The 21,872-nt window shown below is 51.4% G+C and overlaps 1 protein-coding gene across 14 annotated transcripts in view, besides 11 other annotated features; it reads left to right on the top strand.

Annotated features, from left to right (window-relative positions):
- Positions 3,888 to 4,500: an enhancer, noted in NCBI's record as "H3K27ac-H3K4me1 hESC enhancer chr12:6308438-6309050 (GRCh37/hg19 assembly coordinates)". NCBI's record gives its function as "activates a minimal SCP1, AML or CMV promoter by ChIP-STARR-seq in naive H9 embryonic stem cells {active_cell/tissue: H9 hESC(naive)}" and the evidence as "EXISTENCE:reporter gene assay evidence [ECO:0000049][PMID:30033119]".
- Positions 4,501 to 5,112: an enhancer, noted in NCBI's record as "H3K27ac-H3K4me1 hESC enhancer chr12:6309051-6309662 (GRCh37/hg19 assembly coordinates)". NCBI's record gives its function as "activates a minimal SCP1, AML or CMV promoter by ChIP-STARR-seq in naive H9 embryonic stem cells {active_cell/tissue: H9 hESC(naive)}" and the evidence as "EXISTENCE:reporter gene assay evidence [ECO:0000049][PMID:30033119]".
- CD9 (CD9 molecule) overlaps positions 4,562 to 21,872 on the top strand; it is a 38,321-nt gene continuing 21,010 nt past the window's right edge. For 10 of the 14 annotated variants that reach the window (NM_001413249.1, NM_001413242.1, NM_001769.4 and 7 more), the window contains exon 1: positions 5,016 to 5,181. Coding sequence is in view for 10 of the 14 variants with exons in the window: in NM_001413242.1 (NP_001400171.1) it covers positions 5,116 to 5,181 (66 nt within the window). In the remaining 4 variants the exon portion in view is untranslated. Of the gene's footprint in view, positions 4,689 to 5,015; positions 5,182 to 5,457; positions 5,590 to 21,872 lie in introns of those variants that run through there. The other 4 variants (NM_001413243.1, NM_001413241.1, NM_001330312.2 and 1 more) reach the window with 4 other exon arrangements.
- Positions 6,339 to 6,951: an enhancer, noted in NCBI's record as "H3K4me1 hESC enhancer chr12:6310889-6311501 (GRCh37/hg19 assembly coordinates)". NCBI's record gives its function as "activates a minimal SCP1, AML or CMV promoter by ChIP-STARR-seq in naive H9 embryonic stem cells {active_cell/tissue: H9 hESC(naive)}" and the evidence as "EXISTENCE:reporter gene assay evidence [ECO:0000049][PMID:30033119]".
- Positions 6,952 to 7,563: an enhancer, noted in NCBI's record as "H3K4me1 hESC enhancer chr12:6311502-6312113 (GRCh37/hg19 assembly coordinates)". NCBI's record gives its function as "activates a minimal SCP1, AML or CMV promoter by ChIP-STARR-seq in naive H9 embryonic stem cells {active_cell/tissue: H9 hESC(naive)}" and the evidence as "EXISTENCE:reporter gene assay evidence [ECO:0000049][PMID:30033119]".
- Positions 14,972 to 15,595: an enhancer, noted in NCBI's record as "H3K4me1 hESC enhancer chr12:6319522-6320145 (GRCh37/hg19 assembly coordinates)". NCBI's record gives its function as "activates a minimal SCP1, AML or CMV promoter by ChIP-STARR-seq in naive H9 embryonic stem cells {active_cell/tissue: H9 hESC(naive)}" and the evidence as "EXISTENCE:reporter gene assay evidence [ECO:0000049][PMID:30033119]".
- Positions 15,626 to 16,127: an enhancer, noted in NCBI's record as "H3K4me1 hESC enhancer chr12:6320176-6320677 (GRCh37/hg19 assembly coordinates)". NCBI's record gives its function as "activates a minimal SCP1, AML or CMV promoter by ChIP-STARR-seq in naive H9 embryonic stem cells {active_cell/tissue: H9 hESC(naive)}" and the evidence as "EXISTENCE:reporter gene assay evidence [ECO:0000049][PMID:30033119]".
- Positions 18,965 to 19,468: an enhancer, noted in NCBI's record as "H3K27ac-H3K4me1 hESC enhancer chr12:6323515-6324018 (GRCh37/hg19 assembly coordinates)". NCBI's record gives its function as "activates a minimal SCP1, AML or CMV promoter by ChIP-STARR-seq in primed H9 embryonic stem cells {active_cell/tissue: H9 hESC(primed)}" and the evidence as "EXISTENCE:reporter gene assay evidence [ECO:0000049][PMID:30033119]".
- Positions 19,469 to 19,970: an enhancer, noted in NCBI's record as "OCT4-NANOG-H3K27ac-H3K4me1 hESC enhancer chr12:6324019-6324520 (GRCh37/hg19 assembly coordinates)". NCBI's record gives its function as "activates a minimal SCP1, AML or CMV promoter by ChIP-STARR-seq in naive and primed H9 embryonic stem cells {active_cell/tissue: H9 hESC(naive and primed)}" and the evidence as "EXISTENCE:reporter gene assay evidence [ECO:0000049][PMID:30033119]".
- Positions 19,469 to 20,474: a biological region, named in NCBI's record as "OCT4-NANOG-H3K27ac-H3K4me1 hESC enhancers GRCh37_chr12:6324019-6324520 and GRCh37_chr12:6324521-6325024".
- Positions 19,799 to 20,093: a silencer, noted in NCBI's record as "tiled region #8477; K562 Repressive non-DNase unmatched - State 22:ReprW". NCBI's record gives its function as "represses a minimal TATA promoter and a strong SV40 promoter by Sharpr-MPRA in K562 cells {active_cell/tissue: K562}" and the evidence as "EXISTENCE:reporter gene assay evidence [ECO:0000049][PMID:27701403]".
- Positions 19,971 to 20,474: an enhancer, noted in NCBI's record as "OCT4-NANOG-H3K27ac-H3K4me1 hESC enhancer chr12:6324521-6325024 (GRCh37/hg19 assembly coordinates)". NCBI's record gives its function as "activates a minimal SCP1, AML or CMV promoter by ChIP-STARR-seq in naive and primed H9 embryonic stem cells {active_cell/tissue: H9 hESC(naive and primed)}" and the evidence as "EXISTENCE:reporter gene assay evidence [ECO:0000049][PMID:30033119]".

Raw genomic sequence — 21,872 nt, forward strand, 5'->3', positions numbered from 1 at the left:
GCCCCACGCCCAGCCGTCATTCTGCAGATGTTTGCAGAGGGCCTGCTCTGGGCCAGGAAGGGACCGGGAGCTAGGGAGAGCACAGAAATTAATCAAATGCAAGTGCACCCTCGAGGAGCTCACTACCAAGAAGTGGACACATAAAGGAAGATGATGATGACCAGAGAATCACACATGCGAGACTCAAGGTAATCCACGGAGAAAAAGACTGGAGTGCTCCAGGAAGGCTTCATAAGGTGGTGTATTTGAGCTTAGAAAGAGGAACAGGAGAGAAGCTTCTAGAAGTGAAGGAGGTGAATCAAGATGGCCACTGGTGTGGTGGCTGGAAGGGCCTTGGTGGCCTGTGAGAGCGAGGGTCCTACCTGTTGCCTTACAAAGCCATTGCCCACAGCTGGAGGGACCTGGGGCATGGGTGTGACGGCTCATTAGGTCACCTGGCCTCTGCGTGTTCAAATCTTACCACCAGGGGGGGCACAAGAGCCAAAGTGGACCCTGAGCCTGAGCTGGGGTTTCTTTCCCAGAGACAGGACGCCTTGAGGGAAGGGAGGAAAAGCTTTCCCACTCCAGCACCACAAAGCCTGGAAGGCCTGGCTGCTTCCATGTGATTTCTGACTCAGGGGCTTACCCATATTTTCCTCTTCCGGTTAAGGCAAAACATAATTTTTCCATCGCTCACCTTCCTGGTTGCCTGTAGCACTAACTGTCTGTAACAAATGCACTTTGGCCCAGGGGTTTATTGTGACACAGAATGTCAGGAGGAATGAAAGACACCTCCTGATCCAAAATGCTGTGAACCAAAAAGTATCTGAGACAGGTCTCAATCAATTTAGAAAGTTTATTTTGCCAAGGTTACAGATGGGCGCCCAGGAGGCAGATCTGTGCCTTCTGCAAAGATGATTTTGAGGGCTTCAATATTTAAAAGGCGGCTGGTGGGGAAAGAGGAAGAAAGTTTTTTTAAGGTGTGGGTAGGTAAGAAACAAACGGTTGCATTCTTTTGAGTCACTGATCATCCTCTCACTGAATGCACAATTTACATGGCAGAGGAGGGTAGAGAAATAAGTCACTTATGCCTTGTCTAGCACAGCGAATCTTCATTTTTACATTGGAGGAAGCAATCAGATATGCATTTGTCTCAGGTGAGCAGAGGGATGACTTTGAGTTCTGTCCTTTTTTCTGTACCTGTGAAGATATGCTATCAATTTACATTGTCATGGTGAAATTCAACAGAACTGTTTTAGGGCAAATATCATAGGGTCCACCAGAAATTTCCTCATGGGCAAATTGTGAAAGAAGTGCATAGCTGCTTTTTTTTTTTTTTTTTTTTTTGAGACGGAGTCTGGCTGTGTCCCCCAGGCTGGAGGGCAGTGGCGCGATCTCGGCTCACTGCAAGCTCTGCCTCCCGGGTTCACGCCATTCTCCTGCCTCAGCCTCCTGAGTAGCTGGGACTACAGGCGCCCGCCGCCACGCCCGGCTAATTTTTTTGTATTTTTAGTAGAGACGAGGTTTCACCGTGTTAGCCAGGATGGTCTTGATCTCCTGACCTCATGATCCTCCCGCGTCGGCCTCCTAAAGTGCTTGGATCACAGGTGTGAGTCACAGCGCCCAACAAGAAGTGCATAGCTTTTTTTGTTTTTTCTTTTTGAGACGGAGTCTCACTCTGTCGCCAGGCTAGAGTGCTGTGGCGCGATCTCGGCTCACTGCAACCTCCAACTCCCTGGTTCAAGGGATTCTCCTGCCTCTGCCTCCCGAGTAGCTGGGATTATAGGTATGCGCCACCATGCCTGGCTAATTTTTGTATTTTTAGTAGAGATGCGGTTTCACTATGTTGGCCAGGATGGTCTCGATCTCCTCACCTCGTGATCCGCCCACCTTGGCCTCCCAAAGTGCTGGGATTACAGGCGTGAGCCACTGCGCCCGGCCGAGAAGTGCATAGCTTTTTAAAAAATCTTTGTAGCTATCTTATTTAGGAATGGGAGGCAGGTTTGCCTGTGGCAGTTCCCAGCTTGATTTTTTCCTTTGGCTTATTGATTTTGGGGTCCTAAGATTTATTTTCCTTTCACAATACTCTTGTACAGGTGAGGAGACTGAGGCCCAGAGAGGAGGCTGCCTGCCTAACATAGACCAAAGGGTCAGAACCAAGAGTAGAACTCAGACCCCCTCACTTCAGGCCCAATGCTCTCATCACATAAAAAGGATGCCTTGATTATACGAATGTGGCACTGAACTATATAGGCTGACCCCAATTCTTTCTTCAGTGTAAACAATAATAGGAATAGGAGCAACAGGCAGCGTTTCTGCAGCGCTTCTGTGGCAGGCAGGTTCTAAGGCCTCCCTGTGGATTTCCTCTGTCAACACTCACGTTTACCCTAATAAGTAATTTCTATTATAAACTTAAATATTTACTGAACTCCTCCCACCAGTACTTGTTAACTTGGGAGAAGGGGGAGATGCAATAAAATCTTTCTTTTCCTAAGACCTGTCTCCCAAGATAGATGGACGCAGGCCCAAAAGGGCACAATGGAACACTGACTGTTTTCCGGCCTCCTTCCCACCCTCCAGGGTGCTTCACACTCCTCCCCTGTGCTGGAATCATCCTGGACACTGGTTAGGATGTGTAAAGTCAAGCATCACCAAAATTCCTCTGCTTGTCCTCTTGGCATTAGGCTCAGTTTAGGCCCTGCCTCTCCTTCCTTGTCCTCCTTCCTCCCCATGTACCACTATCGGTTGTTTCCCCAGTGCAGCCAGCTGCCCGCTTCTGTGTCTTTGCATATCCAGTTCCCTCTTGGAATTCCCTCCTCCGCATTGACTACTGACTCCACCTTCCCAAGTCAAGTCAGCTGCTGCAATGTCCCCTGCTCTGGGGAGCCTCTCGGACTCAGATTGACGTGGGGATGTGCCCTGTGCCCCTACTTGTTACTAGCTTCTGCTGCTCTGCCTCTGATCTCTCCCTCCCCTTCCCGGCCTGACACCTCATGGGGTTTTGCCCTGCCTTCTCTAGGCTTTATCCCATTGCCCCGCCTTCATTCATTCTTCTCTCACCTGAACTACTCCACAGCCTCCTAGCAGATTTGCACCTGGTCCTCAGCTCAACTTTCATCTACCACTGCTCCCCTCATATTACCTGATTGCGTCTCCCCAAATACAACATCTCCATGTTCCATGCAATCCCGTAAAGCACTGAGCCAAGGACTGGAGATGCCAACAATGGTCCTGGTCCTCAAGGGGCTTCCTACCTGCCCCTCCGGCCTTCCCCCACCCAACTACCTAAAACACAGGCAGAGAACCTCTGAAAACACAGCAGATCCAACCATTCCCCTGCTTGAACCTTTCGGTGGCCCCTAATGCTCAGAGTGCAAAGTCCAGGAGCACAAGGCTCTTTCTCACCTTCCCACAAACTACCCCGTGACTCCAGGCTCCAGCCCAGAGCCCGGACAGCCCCTGCCCCAGCCTTTGCCCAGGATTCTCCCTTGGCGGCAACTTTCCCTGTGGTTCTGCAGCATCATCTCCCAGTCTGGGTCAGAGGCCTCTCCTTAGCCTCTTAGCCCCCAAGCCTCTCCCCGTAACTGCACCTATCACCCTCAAACCATTGTCTGGCTGCCTGTCTCCTCCCACACTGGTCCCTGAGCAGAAACAAGGACTAATCCATGTTTTTCAGCTCCTACCCCTAATGAAATACCCTAATAGATACTGAAAAATGTTTTTGAACCAATGAGACAAGTCTACTGATAATAAACAGGCAAATAACAGCAATGTGCTAACAGTGGCTGTTTCTGGTGAGCAGAATTTTGAGGTCTGTTCCTTTCACTTCTTGGTATTTCGGTTGTTTCTGTAATGACTGTATCTTGCTTTTGTAATCATAAAGGACAGTAAAGGAAACTTCATTTTGAAAATAATACAAAGGGATTCGGGGACTTCAAAAGAAGGTGACTCTCCTCGTCCACTCCAGAGAATCAGGAAAGGAGTGTTTAAAGACCCACAGAATTCCTACAAGTGACGTTGGGGGGGGGCCAGCCAGCCAGGGCGCATGCCGGCCAGCGAGTGGGGTGGGCTCTGGGTCCGGGAGAAGTCAGATCAGTGCTCTGTACAGGGCCTTGAGGGCAAGACGAGGAATTTCGACTTAGGTCCTTGAATCTGGAGAGCTACAGAAAGTTTGTGAGCTCAGGAGAAGCGCTCCGAGCTCGGCATCTGGAGCAGTTCAAGGCAGCAGCGAGCAAGTCCAAAGACGCAGGAGGGAGGGTGGGGTGGAGGAGTAGAGAGAAAACAGAAGCCGTCTACAGACCCTTTTTCCCTCTGGGGCAACTAAACCTCAAGTGCAGGAAGCGCTTGGGGACTGCCCAGCCCTCAGCTGTGTTATTATTCGGTGATAGGTATTTGCTAATTACTTCCAAAAGCCTCCCATCTGTCATCCCACCCAGACTGCGCGCTTCTAATTCCTCCTACCCCACATGCTGTGCCCAATGAAAAGTATGGTCAGCGAGCGAAGGTTTGCAAGGAGACAGACGAGGGCGAAATTAAGCCAGGCGGCTTCCCTTTAAATCCTCGCAAAGCAGAAGGGCCCCTCACTCTGGCAGCAGGCCTTGGCCAAGGGGCCTTTAGCCCTGACGACCCGGGGAAGAGTCTCCCAAAGCAGAACGCCCGGTCCGGCGCCCAGACCAAACGCGGGGGAACCGGAAGGGCGAGGCCTCCACGTAAGTCCGCGGTAAAAGTGGCAGGGAGTGGCTGCCTGCAAAGACCCCAAGACGGCTTGAAGAAGGAGTGGGTGGCGGGTGGGGGTTAGGGCGACTAGGCGGGGAAACAGGGAGAGGGTCGGGCTCCGCGGGGCAGCTGGGGCCGGGGCTCGCCGACCTGGGCGGGGGCGGGGGGCGGGGGGGGTGCGGCCCGGGCGGGGCCGGTGGGGCGGGAGGCGTGGCCGGCGGGGGGAGTGGGGGCGGCTTTTCCCGGCACATGCGCACCGCAGCGGGTCGCGCGCCCTAAGGAGTGGCACTTTTTAAAAGTGCAGCCGGAGACCAGCCTACAGCCGCCTGCATCTGTATCCAGCGCCAGGTCCCGCCAGTCCCAGCTGCGCGCGCCCCCCAGTCCCGCACCCGTTCGGCCCAGGCTAAGTTAGCCCTCACCATGCCGGTCAAAGGAGGCACCAAGTGCATCAAATACCTGCTGTTCGGATTTAACTTCATCTTCTGGGTGAGTGAGCGCGACTGCCGCGCGCTCCTCTCAGGGCCCACCTGTTCGCGGGCCCCGGACACTGGCCGCGGCCGCGAGTGCCGGCAGCTGGCACTGCCCGCACCGGGCAGGCACCGGGCGGGAAGAGAGAGCGCCCTGCGGCTGCCAGCTGGCTCCAAGGCCGGGTCCAGAGCCGGGCGGGACGGCCGCGACGGGCGCATTCGGGTGGGGGCTCATCACCGCCCAGCCGGCGTGGGGAGCCGGGCCCTCTTGAGATGAGGCGTGCGGGAGGGTCCTGAGCACTTTAGCTCGCCTAGGATTTGAGCTGGGGTGTGTGTCTGCTCCCAGCTCAAGTCCCTCCGAGTGCCAGAGAGGAAGGCAGGGAGAAGCGGAGCACCCCTCTTTGGGCCAAGGCCAAGGAGGACTGTGGTGAGCAGTATGGCTTGTGACCGGGTGGGGTCTCCCAGGTAGTAGGGGGCGCCAGGAAGGGAGGGTGCGGGCACGGCGAGAGCTCAGCCAAGAGCGGCTCTCACTTTTACGCAGGAGCGGCAGGGGTGCCTCGGCCGCGGGTCCGGCCCCGGGACCCAGTCCCTGAGAGTCGGGGGCCCCTCCACCCTTGAGGAGGAACCTCGCAGGCCCCCGTTCCCTCAGACTTTGATTCTGAGCCACCGTGAGAGCGCCGAACTCCCTGGTAGCTCCCTGAAAGACTAGCTTGTCTTGATTTCTTTCAAGGACGATAAGTATCTTCACTGGAGAGAACTCAGAGTTCGGGAGAGGAGGGGGCAGATACCTATCTGCGCCTCTAGTGGGATGAGTCCTGTGTGTGCATTTCCGGGAGAGATCAGGTGCCAGCCAGCTGCCCGCCCAGGAGAGCCTTGGCCTTGCCCTCTCCCCTCCCCGCCAGCCCAGGCGGCCCACCCAAGGCCAGGCAGGGCGCAGAGCGGACGTTCATCTGGAGAGGCCAGCGGGGCCAGGAGCTCCAGAGACACCTGCTGCAGGCCACTCAGCCTCTACAAATGGGAAGGCTGAGAGGCGACAGAAGCAAGGAATAGGAAACCCTTGTGTCCTTGTTTCTATAGCCACATTCCCTGCACACACATGACAATACTTGCCGCTCTGCAGGCAGGAAGAGAGTCTCTATGCCACTCTCAAGATAGATGGATGTAGAAACAGGTGCATGCCACCAGAGTCTTGTAACAAAAAAGTGCACTTGGCCAGGCACAGTGGCTCATGCCTGTAATCCCAGCACTTTGGGAGGCTGAGGCAGGAGGATCGCTTTCATCCAGGTTCAAGACCAGCCTGGGTAACATAGTGAGACCCCCATCTCCACAAAAAAATAAAAAATTAGCTGGGCGTGTTGGCATGCACCTGTGATCGCAGCTACTCAGGAGGCTGAGATGAGAGGATGGCATGAGCCTGGGAGGTCAAGGCTGCGGTGAGTCATGATTGCACCACTGCACTTAGCCTGGGTGACCTAGTGAGCCCTGTCTCAAAAAAAGTAGAAAAGAAACAAATGCACTTATTCCCCCTGGAGCTGGTCACTGAGGTCCCCACAAGCCTCCTTAGGGAAATCTTCTAAGATTCACTCCTCCCCAGAGCTGAAGGGGTGGTTGAACAGTTTTTCCAATTTGCAGAGACTGACTTCCCCCAGTGCATCAGTCACCATAACACACACCCCAGTGAGGACGGCATATAGGTGTGCTCCTTCCCAACCCTTGACTTGCTTTAAAAAGACCCTGCTGGCCGTGGGCACCCCTCCTCCTGTGTTGCCACCCACCCCAGCAACCACCCAGCTGCCACGCTTAGCTTCTTTCTTTCACCAATCCCTGGCAGCAGAAAAGTATGCGGGAAGGCAGCTGGCCTCACCCACCCTTGAACTTTGGGAGTTTTCCTCTCCCCTCCCAGGTACAGTCTCTCCCGGCTGGTGTGTTGGTTAGTCCTCAGCTGTCTGCCTAGACTGCATCCAGGTTTGGGACTGCAGGGAAACACAGACTGCCACAGTGTGCCTCCCTACCCCCATCTGCCCCATGGCATATGCAGGAAGCTGATGCGAGGCTCACAGGGCCACTGGTATCTACTCTGTCTGTGGCCTGCTGGCCTGCAATCTGTCCGTACTGTCCTCAGCCTGCCACCCCACTCGTATTCAGAACCCCCTATGCCTGGCCCCAGCCTAGGTGCAGCTGATGACCTATGTAGTCTGAAACAGAAATCACTCACACTGGAAATGTTTGGAATGACTTTTGAAGATCATGCAGTCCAGCTCTCTTATTCATAGTGAGGCAGCAGAGGAAGAGAGATGGGGTGATTTACCCAGGATCGCAGAGACAGAGCCAGTATTACAATTCCTGGGGCCCCTACTTTACTTCTGTCCTCTTCCATCTTCATCAGAGGCAGGAAGATGGGCAGTAGCTATGTTTTCCTGAATTACTGTTCATTTGTCCTGTATCTGGGTCCCTGTGGAGATGAAGCCCTCATCCCTAGGAGATGATGTAATGAAAAGGAAGACTGTGGTCGGTCCACTTGTGCAGAGTGTTAGTCTTTAGAGCCTTTCTTGTTCTAGTCCCATGATGTAGCCAAGAGCAGGAAGCATTGTCCCCACTGTACTGATGATCAGGAAACCATTTCCCAGAGAGGTTAGGTGACTTATCCAAGGTGATGCGGCAGGGTGGTCTCAGAACTAGGTTACTTTACCCAACTGGTTTTGGCTGCTGAGTGGGAATGGGAGAAGGGTGGGAAGAAGCTCCCAAGACTCCCTTAAGGAAAGGTGTAACCTAAGGGAACTGCTTGGGTGATTATGTTGTCACCACGTCCGTTTCTCTCTTGAGACCAGACATTTATAAACTTGGCATTCGGAACCTGATGTGGGCCTTGAAAAGCAGGAATTGTGAGGCCAGTGCCCAGCAGCACTTTGCACAGAGGCTGCTGAGAGGGGGTGTCCAACAGGCATCCAGAGAGAGGCCAACCTCAGTGGAGTAGGATGGTTATTGGGGGGCTGTGCCTCTTCCCTGGCCTGATCTCATCCCTGTGGGTCACTCCCTGATGGCCACAGCCAAACCAGCAAATCAGTCTGTTCTTCCACCACCTCCAGAACCGGCCCTCCTAGCTCTATTTTGATTGTTTCTACATTTCCTTCAGACCTCCCTGCCCGCCTGCCCACCCCCCAAAAAACAGTTGAGAGGGAAAACATCTTGCTGATGTCCATGTGGTAGACACACAAGTATTTCTCCAGCTGAAATGGGGAACCAGGGTTAGGGCCAGTCCAGTCTGACACATGCATGTCTGCCCTCTTTCTGGTCAGAGAAGGGGAGGAACTCCTTAGGGCAAAAGAGGGAAAGGTTTGGCTATACTGACAGAGCCCAATCCCCTCCCCACCTCCCTCAGCCCCTTTGCTTACTGTCTCTCATGCCTCGCTCACTGATGGAAACAGCAGTGTGGGGCTGGGAGGTCTCTTTCCCAAGAAACCATATCCCCTAGACCTAGGGGAGGCTGGTGCGAAACACAGAGACCTACACTGGGAATTCAGAGACCTGGATGTGAGCCCAGCTCTGTCCTCAACTCACTTTGAAACCTTGGGTTGGTCACTTCTGTGCTCTAAGCCTCAGTTTCCTCATCTGTAAAACAATAGCTTGGAACAAATGGTCTCAAAAGGTCCTTTCAAGCTCAGTCTATGAACCCAACACCCCTACACATACCACATACAACAATAGAACTCTCCTACACAACCCAAAATAGGAACCAATATTGGGTACGATGTATACTATGTTGGTGATGGTCACATTAAAAGCCCAGACTTCACCATGTGTAACAAAACTACATTCGTGTCCCCTAAATCTATAAATAATAATATAATAAACAAAATACAAGCCCTGAATTGGAAATGGGAGATGGATACCAAGGCTTGAGTCCTCAGAACTTAGCTTTTCTTGGCCTTTACCTCTGGAGCAAGAGCCCAGCTGGTGCTTTTCTTTGCTGTTGCTTCTCAGTTCCCTCTCCTCACCCTGGGTGGGGTCTCTCTCAGGGGTGTTCATTGCCCGTATACCTTAGTACTTGGCCTAGTGATCAAAGCACCAGTCCTGGGTTCCATGTCTCATCACCAGATGGGGCTGGTGACCACCCCACATGGTGCTGTGAGAGTTAAATGGGGAGTATGTGTAGTGCACTTAGCATAGTAGATTGCACCAGACATATCTTCCAACAGTAGCTATTGTTATTCACTAGTGGAGAGTAGAATGAGGCCCTGGGGAGGGTGAGAGCAGTTCTCTAAGAAGTGTGGAAGTCTAAACCGCAGATGTGGCCAGGAGGACCCTCCCAATCCACACACTGGCCTCCCTGCCCCTTCCTGTATCAGTGCCAACTTTGTCCTGTGCATCAAAACCCTGACTCCATTTCATGGGTTGCTACTGCTCATTTGGCTGCGGGAAGGCCCCGCTTCTGAAAATAAAATTGCCTGTCAGAGAAACCCTAAGGATCAGGATTCCGGATCTGGGCAGGGCATGGACAAGTTGGGTGGCAGTGGCAAAAGCCCCTCCCCATGGTCTGCCTTTTCCCCCAGAAGCAAGTTGCTGGGACTGTTGCATAAAATGGCTCCCACCTCCAGTGCCCAGACAGCCTGCGCTGGGGTGAAGCTGGCTACACGTGCACTGAAGCTGGCAGGCTTGGGGAGAGGTGAGCTGAGGCCAGGTATCTGCTTCCTTTGCCCAGGATTTTGATGGTCTCTCCCCTACACCCACAGTGGGTGTGAACAACAAAGACCCAATCTTTTGATGGTGGTGAGGATTCCTCTGCACACGCTCACACTCACGTTCTCTACCCCCTTCTTTTCAACGTGGCCCACAGCACGATTCCAGACCCTGCTCTATTGTGCTCAGAGGAAGCAGCTGCTGGCTCCAGCCCGAATTTGGGAGTGCTTTGATATGCAGCCCTCTCTGGGGCCCTGCCAGTACTGACTCTAGATGAGCCCTCTGCGGCTGCTGGGCTCACAAATCAGCCTTCTCACCCCTTCCTCCAGGAGCAGTGTTGGATGAGAATCTCCCCCTTACACACATAGATCCTGTGTTTGTTTTGTCTGCTTTTGTTTGTTTGTTTGTTTTTGTTTTCCTGTTCTGTTCAATTTTATAAGGAGGCATAGCTTTTGGACTTGGTTGCAGGGTTGGGTTTGGAACTTAATAATACCTTGGATTGACAAAGGCGCCTTTTCTTCTAAAGAACACAAACCTTGATGGTTCTTGCCTGGGTGTGGTTCTCACCTGGGTGAGCCTGGCTGTGAGGGTAGGGGGCCTGAGGTCACCCCAACCACAGCTTCTGTGGTCCTACTGGCAGCATGTTCTAGACAGACCTGTGTGGAGCTGGGGAAAGGAGAGTGGAGAAGTTTGAGGAAGCTGCATGTTTATGTTTTGTGTTCCTCCCTCCCCCAGGTTGGGGTCAGCGGGACTTTATTTGGATCCACCACAGGTCTTTTCAACCAAAGCCTTGCAGAAACAGGCTTTACCCCATACACACAGAAGAGCAACGACTTCCTTGTTAAGAGTCTGAAAATCTGGGTGAGAGCCTGTCAGACCCATGGCCTCAGAGAGCAGGAAAAATCCTTTGCAACTGGGAAGGAAATTCAGAAGACAAAAAAAAAAAAAAATGCAGGGGAATAGGGGGCGGGGGCTAGTCTTTATACATTTCTTTCTTTCTTTTTTTTTTTGGAGACGGTGCTCACTCTGTCACCCAGGCTGGAGTGCAGTGTTAACAATCATGGCTCATGGCTCACTGCAAACTCAACCTCCCAGCTCAGGCGATCCTCACACCTCAGCCTCCTGAGTAACTGGGACTACAGGCATGTGCCACTACACCCAGCTAACCTTTTAATTTTTTTGTAGAGACAGGATCTCACTATGTTGCCCAGGCTGGTCTCAAACTCCTAGGCTCAAGCGATCTGCCAACCTTGGCCTCCCAAAATGCTAGGATTACAGGAATGAGCCACCGCGCCTGGCCTACATTTCTTAAATTTATGTTTTAAGGCCTGACTACAGATTACTTGCCTGTTTTATTCCATGGAAAAAGTCATGCTGGTCCAGGGACATTCTCATTTTCCATCAAGTGATGGCATGCAGCCGTAGAAAGCAACATCCTGTCCCCAGATGAGATAATTTTTTTGTGATAATTTTATAATAATTGTATCTATCTGGTAATTTCCTCCCCCCGCCTCTCCAAAAATACTTAGTTGTGGATAGTTTTAAGTGCTATATCCTGTCATCCTAGACTAATACATCTTAACGTTTTTAGGGAAATTCCTTTTTAGGGAATTCCTTGGAATCAGTACGACCTGCCTCCAGAAAAATGTTATGTCTGTTTCTGGAGGCCCATAGACATTTTTTTTTTTTTTGCCTTTTTCTCCATTGCCCAGGCTGCAGTATAGTGGCACCATCATAGTTCACTGCAGCCTCAAACTCCTGGGCTTTACACAATCCTGGCCTCAGCCTCTCAAGTAGCTGGGACTACAGCACACACCACTATACCCGGCTAATTTTTTTGTACAGAGAGGGTCTCTCTATGTCGCCCAAGCTGGTCTTGAACTCCTGGGCTCAAGCAGTCCTTCAGCCTCGGACTCCCAAAGCACTGGGATCATAAATGTGAGCCACCACGCCCAGCCTGAGCTCACGCTATAAATGCCCCATATTGGTTTTTCTCCCTCAGTTTCCAGACAACCCCTGCTCTGTCCTGAGTCCCATATTTCTGCCATAAGAAGCAGGTTGCCTCACCGTTCCCCGGGGGCTGCAATGGGGGCATCACAGGGGACTTTGTGAAAGGCATTAGAAATGATAAATTCCCTAGTGATCAAGTGCAGCTCAGATGGGACAGCTGGCCTCCCACCCATCCCTCTGACTCTCAGCTTAATCATTGCCTAAGGAGTGGTTTTCACTCGGTTAATTTAATGAGTGCTCTGTATTTCTAGTACACACGAAAAATGCAACTGTATGATCTTCCAGCCAGGTTGGGCCTCTTGGCTTAGCTTTTCCCAGAGCTTGGTGCTTCATCTTTGTTCAGGAAGAAAGGAGGTCTGTCTCTCTTCTCCTTCCCTCCAAATGCAGACGGAAAGTCTCGTCCTCTGAGGACTTGCAGAAAGGAGGAATGTCTCAGGAGGGATCATTTGGGGAGCTGCACTCCCAAGGAGTTGAGAAGCAGCCTGGTTGAGTAACTGGGAAAGGCAAAGCAGCCTGACTTGGAGAGGGGCCCGGATTAATGTGATTCCAGAGGAGGTCCCGGTAGAGAGAAGTTTGGGGACTACTGACTTGGAGAAAAATCAGAAACCCGGGTCTTAAGAGCCCTTCCTCTTCAATCCTTAAGCCAGGCATTGTGCCTGAGGGAAGAAATAGTGGCTCTTATGAGCTCTGCTAGAAAAGTAACCCTTCAGGCCAGGCGCGGTGGCTCACGCCTATAATCCCAGCATTTTGGGAGGCCGAGACAGGCGGATCACCTGAGGTTGGGAGTTTGAGACCAGCCTGGCCAACATGGAAAAACCCCCTCTCTACTAAAAATGCAAAATTAGCCAGTCATGGTGGCAGGTGCCTGTAATCCCAGCTACTTGGGAGGCTGAGGCAGGAGAATTGCTTGAACCTGGGAGGCGGCGGTTGCAGTGAGCTGAAATCGTGCCATTGCACTCCAGCCTGGGCGACAAGAGTGAAACTCCATCTCAAAAAAAAAAAAAAAAGAAAAGAAAAGTAACCCTTCACAGCTTACCCAATGCACATCCAAGTTTCCAGTGACACCTCTGAGCAGGCTAAGCAGCTGGTGGCTCCTGCCAAGCCCTCTCCTCGGAACTGAGCTTCACAGCTTCAGGTGCCAGTCCCTTGCTGACACTCCCAGTCTAAGCTGTGTGTTAGTCTCCAAGTTCAGAAACAACACAATACATGGGTCATAGGAGAAGAACCTCGACTGAGGCTAAAAATACCATAAAGTTAATCAGGCAGTTTTATTAATTATGAATTTATTAATTCAAAACCTATTCAAGGATTTTAGTTTTTTTTGTTTGTTTGTTTGTTTTTGTTCTTTTTTTTTTGAGGTGGAGTTTCACTCTTGTTGCCCAGGCTGGAGTGTAATGGTGCGATCGCAGCTCACCGCAACCTCCGCCTCCTGAGTTCAAGCCATTCTCCTGCCTCAGCCTCCTGAGTAGTTGGGATTACAGGGGTGTGCCACCATGCCCGGCTAATTTTTAGTAGAGACGGGGTTTCTCCATGTTGATCAGGCCGGTCTTGAACTCCTGACCTCAGGTGATCCACCCGCCTCAGCCTCCCAAAGTGCTGGGATTACAGGTGTGTAGTTTAATGTCTTTTAAACCTAAGTTGATTGAATGTAGTATGATAATACAGTGTACTGATTTATTAAAACTCTAAATGAAATGATCAGCAAAATCATACTATTTGTGAACTCATCATTGCTTTTTTTGTTGTTTGTTTTGAGACAGAGTCTCGCTCTGTCACCCAGGCTGGAGTGCAGTGGCGCAATCTTGGCATACTGCAACCTCTGCCTCCCAGGTTCAAGTGATTCTCCCGCCTCAGCCTCCTGAGTAGCTGCGACTACAGGCACATGCCACCACGCCCAGCTAATTTTTGTATTTTTAGTAGAGATGGGATTTCATCATGTTGGCCAGGCTGGTCTCACCTCAGGTGATCCACCCACCTCTGCCTCCCAAAGTGCTGGGATTATAGGCGTGAGCCACCGCACCGGGCTCGTCGTAGCTTTTCAAGTCAATAGAAATCTGGTGTTTGAATCCACATCATGTCTTCCCTTGTAGGTGGGCAGTTGCAGTGTGTAGTGTGCATGCACACCCCAGATTTATGCCCAACTCCACTGGATGTTTTCTGGGTGGGGAGTCATCCATACCTCCCTCAGCGGCCCCGTTCCTAGAGACGGGAGGCCCTTCCCACTAAGACATATTCCTCCTGCTCTCCATGGTGCAATGTAAACATCTTCTTTCTCACAATGTGGGACTGTGGATTTAAATTTATTATTGCTAAGCTCAGATGTTTTAAAGCTTCCTGTCTACAAGCCTGAGAAAATCTCTTCATACTCTCCTTTCCTCCTCTCTAGTCAAATTGTAGCCCTGGCTCCCTAAGACACAACCCTTTAGAGACCCAGACTGCAAATTTCTTTTTTTTTTTTTTTTTTTTTCTGAGATGGAGTCTCATTCTGTTGCCCAGGCTGGAGTGTAGTGGCACAATCTCGGCTCACTGCAACCTCTGCCTCCTGGGTTCAAGCGATTCTCATGCCTCAGCCTCTTGAGTAGCTGGGATTACAGGCATGTACCACCATGCCCGGCTAATTTTTGTGTTTTTAGTAGAGATGGGGTTTTGCCACGTTGACCAGGCTGGTCTCGAACTGCTGACCTCAGGTGATACGCCCACCTCGGCCTTCCAAAGTGCTGGGATTACAGGCGTGAGTCACCGCGCCCAGCTGGGACTGCTCATTTCAAATAGAAATTAGATTATCTTCTAGGATGAGGAGGGACACTTTGGCCTTCTTTGTCATGGGAGGCTGGCACTCTCCTCTAGGACCCTGGGGTGTGTCTTGAGAGCTCGTGCCCAGGGCTATAACACAGAGAGGCCTGTGCTGATGTCATCTTGTTCTGCCCTTTGCTGGCAGGGTGGTTCTGGGGAAGGGCAGAGGCTCCGGGTCCCACTCTGGGGCTGTTTTCACGGGGGATGGAAGGACCATGGCCACTGAACGGGCTGCGGTCCCGTCTATGGACACAATGCCAATGGGCAGCTGCAACAGTGCAGCCAAGGGGAAAGGAGGATGTGCGAGTTGCCCTGGAGAGTCCCTTCCCAGAGCGCCGCCTCTGTCCACCCTGACTATATGACCAGTGGAACCAAGGGTGTGGCTGAAGCTCTCAGGACAAAGGCCAGGGAGAGGAAGCACCGGCTGTTTTTTTTAGACTCTCTTCGAGCACCCACTACCCCCACTGCCCCCAAGCGAGGCCAGGTGTAGGTGGCATCTCCAGCCCAGGTGGCCATGCAGCTGCCCTGCTGTCAGGGAGGAGGCGCGTCTGCAAGCTGCCTTCCTTCCGGTGCAGATGGGCTCCCTTGTGGCCTTTAAAGATCGAAAACACCACTTTGAAATGGGATTAGATATGAATGGGGGGGAAACAGGCAAAAGGGAAAAAATTCTGGCTTCAGAATAGAAGAAATGGATCAAAAACACAAACAGCTTAACAAAATAATTGAGAATTGGGGCTCTGCAGTCAGACCATTCTGGGTTCAAGTTCTAACTCTGCCACTTACTTGCCCTGTGATCTCAGTTGAGCAACTTTTTTTTTTTTTTTTTTTTGAGAAGGAGTCTCGCTCTGTTGCCAGGCTGGAGTGCAGTGGCGTGGTCTTGGGTCACTGCAACCTCTGCCTCCTGGGTTCAAGCGATTGAACAGCCTCAGCCTCCCAAGTAGCTGGGATTACAGGCACGCACCACCATGCCTGGCTATTTTTTTATATTTTTAGTAGAGATGGGGTTTCACCATGTTGGCCAGGCTGGTCTTGAACTCCTGACCTTGTGATCCTCCCGCCTTGGCCTCCCAAAGTGCTGGGATTACAGGCTTGAGCCACCGTGCCCGGCCCGAGCAACTTAACTTTTGTGCCCCAGTTTTTTCATCTAAAAAATAGAAGACAATATTACCTCTTTGGTGGGCCTATTCTGAAAACTAAATAGTTCTGGAGAAGTGCTTAGGGTGGGGTTGTGGAACATAGATAGCAAATATTTGAGTACTTGCTGCTAGTAATTAGGTGACCTAATATGAAGAAGGAGCTCCTGGCAGAGGGGTAGGGCAGGTTGATAGGTTAGACAAGAGTTTGGGGATCTTGGCCTCCCTTGCTGGCTTGGGGTTTGCAAGATCCCATGTTGGAGCAGGAGGGCCGTTCCACCAAGCGGTGCCGGAAGTGCTTTTAGCCGACCCTGCCACTCCAGGCACCACCTGGCATTGCTTGAAAACTGTCAAGGAAGGAGCATCTCCCACCACTCAGGGCCACGCACGCACGTGGCGGCCAACTCTGCAGATGGAATGAGAGCAAGCTGCTGCAAGTGGCTAGAGTGTGTCAGCAAGAGTGTGTGCAGTCATCGCCAGACAGCTCGGCGAGGCATACACAACGGAAAACAAATGTGTGGTATTCTGGAATTTAAAGCAAAACATCCAAAACAATCCCCCACATCAGATGATTTTGGTTAAGATCAGAATGCCTGCTTTCAGTGGAAAAGGGATTTATGGGCTGGCCAGTGTATGCTACGCGTCTGGCAAGCAGGCAGTGGAAACTTGAAATGGGATTTCTTGTTTAGAAAGAGGTTACCTTGGGCTGGGGCCTCCCTCCCAATCAGCCCCAACATCCTAACGCCAGTACACTTCACTGAAGCTTTTCTCCTCTCCAGGGCAGAGGAAGGGCTCCAGGTTTTTAAATGATGCTGACTTTGTCCTTGAAAGGAGGGAAGATTTCTCAACTCGAACTTGTTCAGACCAGGTAGCTGCCTAATTTCCAGAAAGATATGCTGAGAAAAAGCTTACGGAGTTCCTCATCCTCTGCCACACCCTGGAGAGGGGACCAAGCTGTCTCCCTTCTATCAGGGAGGAGACAGGTCAGCAAGTAACCGATCTCTGCATGGCATGTGCTGTGCACCGTCAGAGGAAGAGTGCTGACAGCTGGGTCACTCATGCCTGCTCTGTGACCACGGGCAAGTCGCTTTACCTCTCGGAGCCTGTTTCTTCATCTCTCACAGGGATGATTCTAACTAGCTCTCAGGCTCTAAGGCAGCCCACTAAGAATCAGAAGGGGCAGCAGGGCCTTGTAGTGTAATTCTAGTCTCCTCCCTGGGAAACCTCTCATGCATTGCATTACTGTTGCTCCCACAGGGAATGTTCTCTTGTAAAGTAATGGCCTGCACCAGCCTGAGGCCAGGCTCGAACATTTACACACAACGAGCCAGGCATAGCAAGGTGGTGGCACCCCCAGGCTGTAGCTGTCTAGGGCCACCTTCACCCTTCCACCCAGGAGCCCCCCAGCTGCACTAGCACCCCTGGAAAGGGAGGCCACAGAGTCAGTAGGCAGGCTAAGCATGTGCTTAGGGCACCAACAATGCAGGCAGCTCAAGGAATCCAGGGAAATAGGCACTTTTTTTGAGCTTTATCTTACAAGTTCAACTTTTTTTATGTTGAATTGTATGGGTTGTGGGGTAGGTACCATAATCATCTCAGTGTCTAGAGCACTAAATGGCCACAGAAGGCAGAAGTTGGCCTCCCCAGGGACCCAGCTTGTCATGGAATGTTGGGTTTAAGTGTATGTGTGGACCCCTCTCCCCAGCCTGCCCTTATGGTATAAAAGAGTGACATATAATAGCAGGGGCCATTTATGACCCAGGGACATTGCTGGGGTTGGGGGGAGTGGGCCAGGAGCGGGCAAGGAGTTGTCTTGATAGAAACGCTGATTCCCGTGGGGAGACAGCAAATTAGTCACTCTCCTTAAGCCTTACTTTCCTTATCTGTGTAATGAAGGTAATAACACAACCAGCGTCTTACGATTGTTACTGGGACTAAGGGGATATTTAATGTAAAGCTATTATATGGGCCTGGCTCACAGGCAGAGCTTCTGTGTTAGCTTCTGCTGCTGTTGCTGTAGTTGCTGCTACTGGTACCTCTCCTTAACATTTTTCACAGATTGAGGTTGTCTAAGTGTTCACATTCATCCATATCTTCTCACTTCAGTTCATGAAACCACATCACACAAGATCAGTCAATGCTGAAATTTACCTCCAGTCTTTCTCCCTCTCGAACACGAATTGGAGGACGTATCTTTCCACCTGTCTATAAAACACTCATTTCTGAGACTTCCCCAGTTTGGGGAAGACGGATAAAGAAGGGAATCAGTTTTGCACTTTGCTGGAAGCGCCTGTAAGAATGCCCCATTGGCAGAGACTCGCTTTGTGGAGCTCAACTTGGAAATTAATTTACAATGGAAATTGAAGGAAAATCTACTTCATGTCCACACCAAGAAGGGTGGCCTCAATGCCTCTCCTTCAGTTCACTCCTTGTGCCTTCCAAAAGGAAGTTGATTCTTCGTATGTAGAATTTTCTGGACACCTAGAACACCTACACCCAGAAACCAGGTCCCAGAGAGATGCAGAGCCACGGTCACCATTGCTTGTGTAGACACCAGGGGTAGGAAGTGGAAGGAAGGTAGCGCCTGAGGGTGCAGCTTCCCAGGGACCACCACCTCTCCCAGCCTCAATGGCGGGAGAGAACAAACCCAAGGGAGAAGCTACGGGCCAGCATCTTCCCTCCCTCCCTCTTGGCCCCCACCAGGGCTAGGGTCAACACCCCAAATTGAAAGCATCTGTTGTCAAGCTGCAGCAGGCAGGGAAACCCTGTCACCAGGTTAAGGCTTAAGTCAGAGCATTTTGCCAAATTCAACACGTCCAAGCCTCCCACTTGTCCCCCAAGAAAATTTCTCAGGGATTCACATCTTTCCCAGTCACCCCCTGGCCAGTGAGGAAGCACCGTGCATCGAGAAGAGCATAGCTTTGAGTCGTCTATGTGGAGCTGGTTCCATCTGAGCTCTGCCTCTTCCTGGCTGTGTCTTTTTGAGTCAGTTGCTTAAAATCTCTGAGCCTGATTCATCCATAAAATGAGGGTGATGAGAGGATTCAGTGAGAGACTGTACATAAACCACCTCCTGTAATGTGTCGGGGGCGTGGGTCCTTGTACATAGTAACTTCTACTGTTAAATTGCTACTGTGGTGTTATTTTCCCTAAGCTAGACAACCTGCAACTTGACCATTAGCCTCTTTTTTTTTTTTTTTTTTTTTTTTGAGATGGGGTCTCTGTCACCCAGGCTGGAGTGCAGTGGCGCAGTGTCAACTCACTGCAGCCTTGACCTCCTGGATTTAAGCCATCCTCCTTCCTCAGCCCCCCAAGTAGCTGGAACTACAGGCGTGTGCCACCATTCCCAGCTAAGTTTTTGTATTTTTTAGTAGAGACTGGGTTTTACCATATTGCCCAGGCTGGTCTCCAACTCCTGAGCTCAAGCATTCCGCCCCCCTCTCAGCCTCCCAAAGTGCTAGGTCAGGTCAGAGGCCTGACCATCAGCCTCTGAGTGTATTCTTTTAAAAAATTGTTTTTCTAGAGTTCGGGGAGGTTTGAGGAGAAGTCCAGTCTCATGCATAACAGCGAGCTGGCCTAGGGAGCACAGCCGGCTGCAGAATTCAGGGGGGAGGTTCTTACCAGGAGTGCCCTGCTGCAGGTTGTGGGAGCCTCTCACGGGCCCACTGAGTCACCAGGGCCTGTTACCAGAGGAGAGTTCACGCAGGCAGGGCCTGGGTGGTGGATGTGCATTTGGGAGCCAAACGCAGGTTCCAACTTGAGCCCTTTACCATGACTTCCTGGCTCAGTGGGTTCAGCACAGAGTTGTCCAGCCGTTCTCTCTCCTTTCTTACCTCTTCCTGCCTTCCCACCTCTCTGCATCCTCACCCTTAATGGTCACAATGCCGCATTTCCAGGGTGACCCCAGGTTCCCTCCCCGTGGCTCACAGTGCTGGTCAAAGCATTTGAGCCCCCAAATGCCCCACTCTCCAGATCGGAGTGTAAAGTAGTAGGTGCCAGTCCTGCTCCCTCGTGGGGCTGGGCAGTGAGCTCTCCCTAACACACACAAAGCACCTCCAGCTCAGAGGAAGCTCACACCTCCCATCCATGCCTTCAGGCTTTTCGGCACTGGCATTTAGAAAGCTATTCTCTGGATTCAGAACCCCCAGAGAGAGCTTTTCTCTGTCCTTCCTGATTATTGGTGTGTAAATGAAGGCCTAGAGTAGTGGTTCTTAAACTTGAGCGTGATGAGAGTCACCTGGGGAGGTGTTGGAAAACAGAGTGCCGGCCCAGTCCCACTCCAGTTTCACTGAGTGAGTCTAGGAGGGAACTGCGAATTTGCATGTCCAGGTTCCTGGGTCATCCTGCTGCTGGTCTGGGGTCATTTCGAGAGCTGCTGGACTGGCATAGAGAAGAGTTTCCTGGGTTGCCTTTGAAGATAAGAATTTCTGAAGGTTTGAGCACTGCCTTCAGACAGTGGCTCGGTAGAAGTCCCAAGAGCAGAAGTTGTCTGGAGAGGAGAGATGGCCCCCAGGATGCGCCTGACCAACCAGTCATACCTACAAAAGGGAGTTCTGGTTCTCTAGGGCTGTGATCTCTGGGGCTTTTCAACTTGGCTGTAGTAAAACTAAAGTTAGTAATATGCCCTGTTGTCATCTAGAAATTCCGCCATGAGCTATTACAGTAGTTTAGTTGGGACGCTTAAGGAGAGCAAGTCGTGGCAATTTCTTCTGCTGATTACAGCGGAGTTTTGGTTTTCTTGTTCCCGGTGTTTACTGTGTGGTGGAGCTGGATAAGGGAGCACCCCAAAGCCTCTAGTCCTGCCCAAGTGGCTTTGCCCTTCCAAAGACAACAGCCCCAGCCTTCATTTGGAGGTGGGAGAGGAGGACACAGAGAGGGTTGGAGGAGGCTGTGGGCATCGGGATCCTGTTTGTTCTTGCTGGCACTGCCTGGCCCGGCTTCCTGAGGAGTGAATCAGCCCATCCAAGGCTTGGCATGCAGTAGTGAGCCAAGGGTTGCCATGGAGATGGGCGAGGCCCAGAGCCCACAGGTCTGGGTGGCCTGACTTGTTTTTAAATGTTGAAGTCTGTGCGAAGAGGGAGGGCCTATCTCCACTTCTGTGGCTTTCTTAAAGCGTGACTGGTATTTTGGGGCCTGGAAAACTGCTGGTGTGGGAAACTTGCATCCCCAGTATTTGGTGTGTTGCTTACTTCCTGGGTGCTATGGACAACTATGACTAATGCTCTCCCAAGTTTAGTAGATGACAAAAACAAAAACCAGGGCTGACAAGCATCTTATTGAAGGAGGGTGATAAAGAGGCCAAGGTTTCCTCTCCTGCCCAACCCAGGAAAATCCCCTCTCTCTCTGTTATCTGCTGCTGTAATAACTCCTTTCAGCAGGGTTAATTTGCCCACGGAAGCAGTTTGTGATCCAAGGAAGGACAGAAGCCTAAAATCTGAGCCAACAGTCTCCCTTTAGCCTTCCTTCCCCACTTTCCTTTGGCCATTCCCATCCAGTCTTAGTGGAGCTCTGGATGGCAGTTTGCAGGTGTGAAGCAGATAAGTTTATCCATTTTCCTCCACTACCCAGCGCTCACACAGACTCCCACACAAACCAGGAAACAGAACCCCAGTGTCCTAAATTCCCCCGCTGCCACCCAGCCGCCTTCTCCGATCACAGGAGGACACAACAGCCGTCCACAGAGGGCCCATGAATTGACCCAGTGTCACCTCACGTCTTTCTCAGGGTTTATTATTATTGTCATTTTTTTTCCCTATGGAATCCGGCTGGCTGTAACACTTCACAGTTTTCAGAATGTTTTACATGCATCACTTTATTTAATCCTCTCCTTCAACCTACGTTGAAGGCAGGACAGGTATCATACTGTTTTTTTTCCACAAACGAGGACTGTAACGTTCAGAGAAGCTGAGGAAAGTGTGTAGTGTCAGAGAGCTCCTAGGTAGCAGTGCCAGAATTAGAGCCCAAGTTTATATCCATCACAGTCCAGTCATTCTCAACAGAGGCGTGCAATAGAATCCCTGGGAGCACAAAGAGTCCCCTGGGATTGCTGAGGCAGGTGCATGTTTAGAAATCCCCCAGGTAGGCTGGGTGCCATGGC

Source organism: Homo sapiens, chromosome 12, assembly GCF_000001405.40.
Source record: "Homo sapiens chromosome 12, GRCh38.p14 Primary Assembly".
NCBI classification, from domain to species: domain Eukaryota; kingdom Metazoa; phylum Chordata; class Mammalia; order Primates; family Hominidae; genus Homo; species Homo sapiens.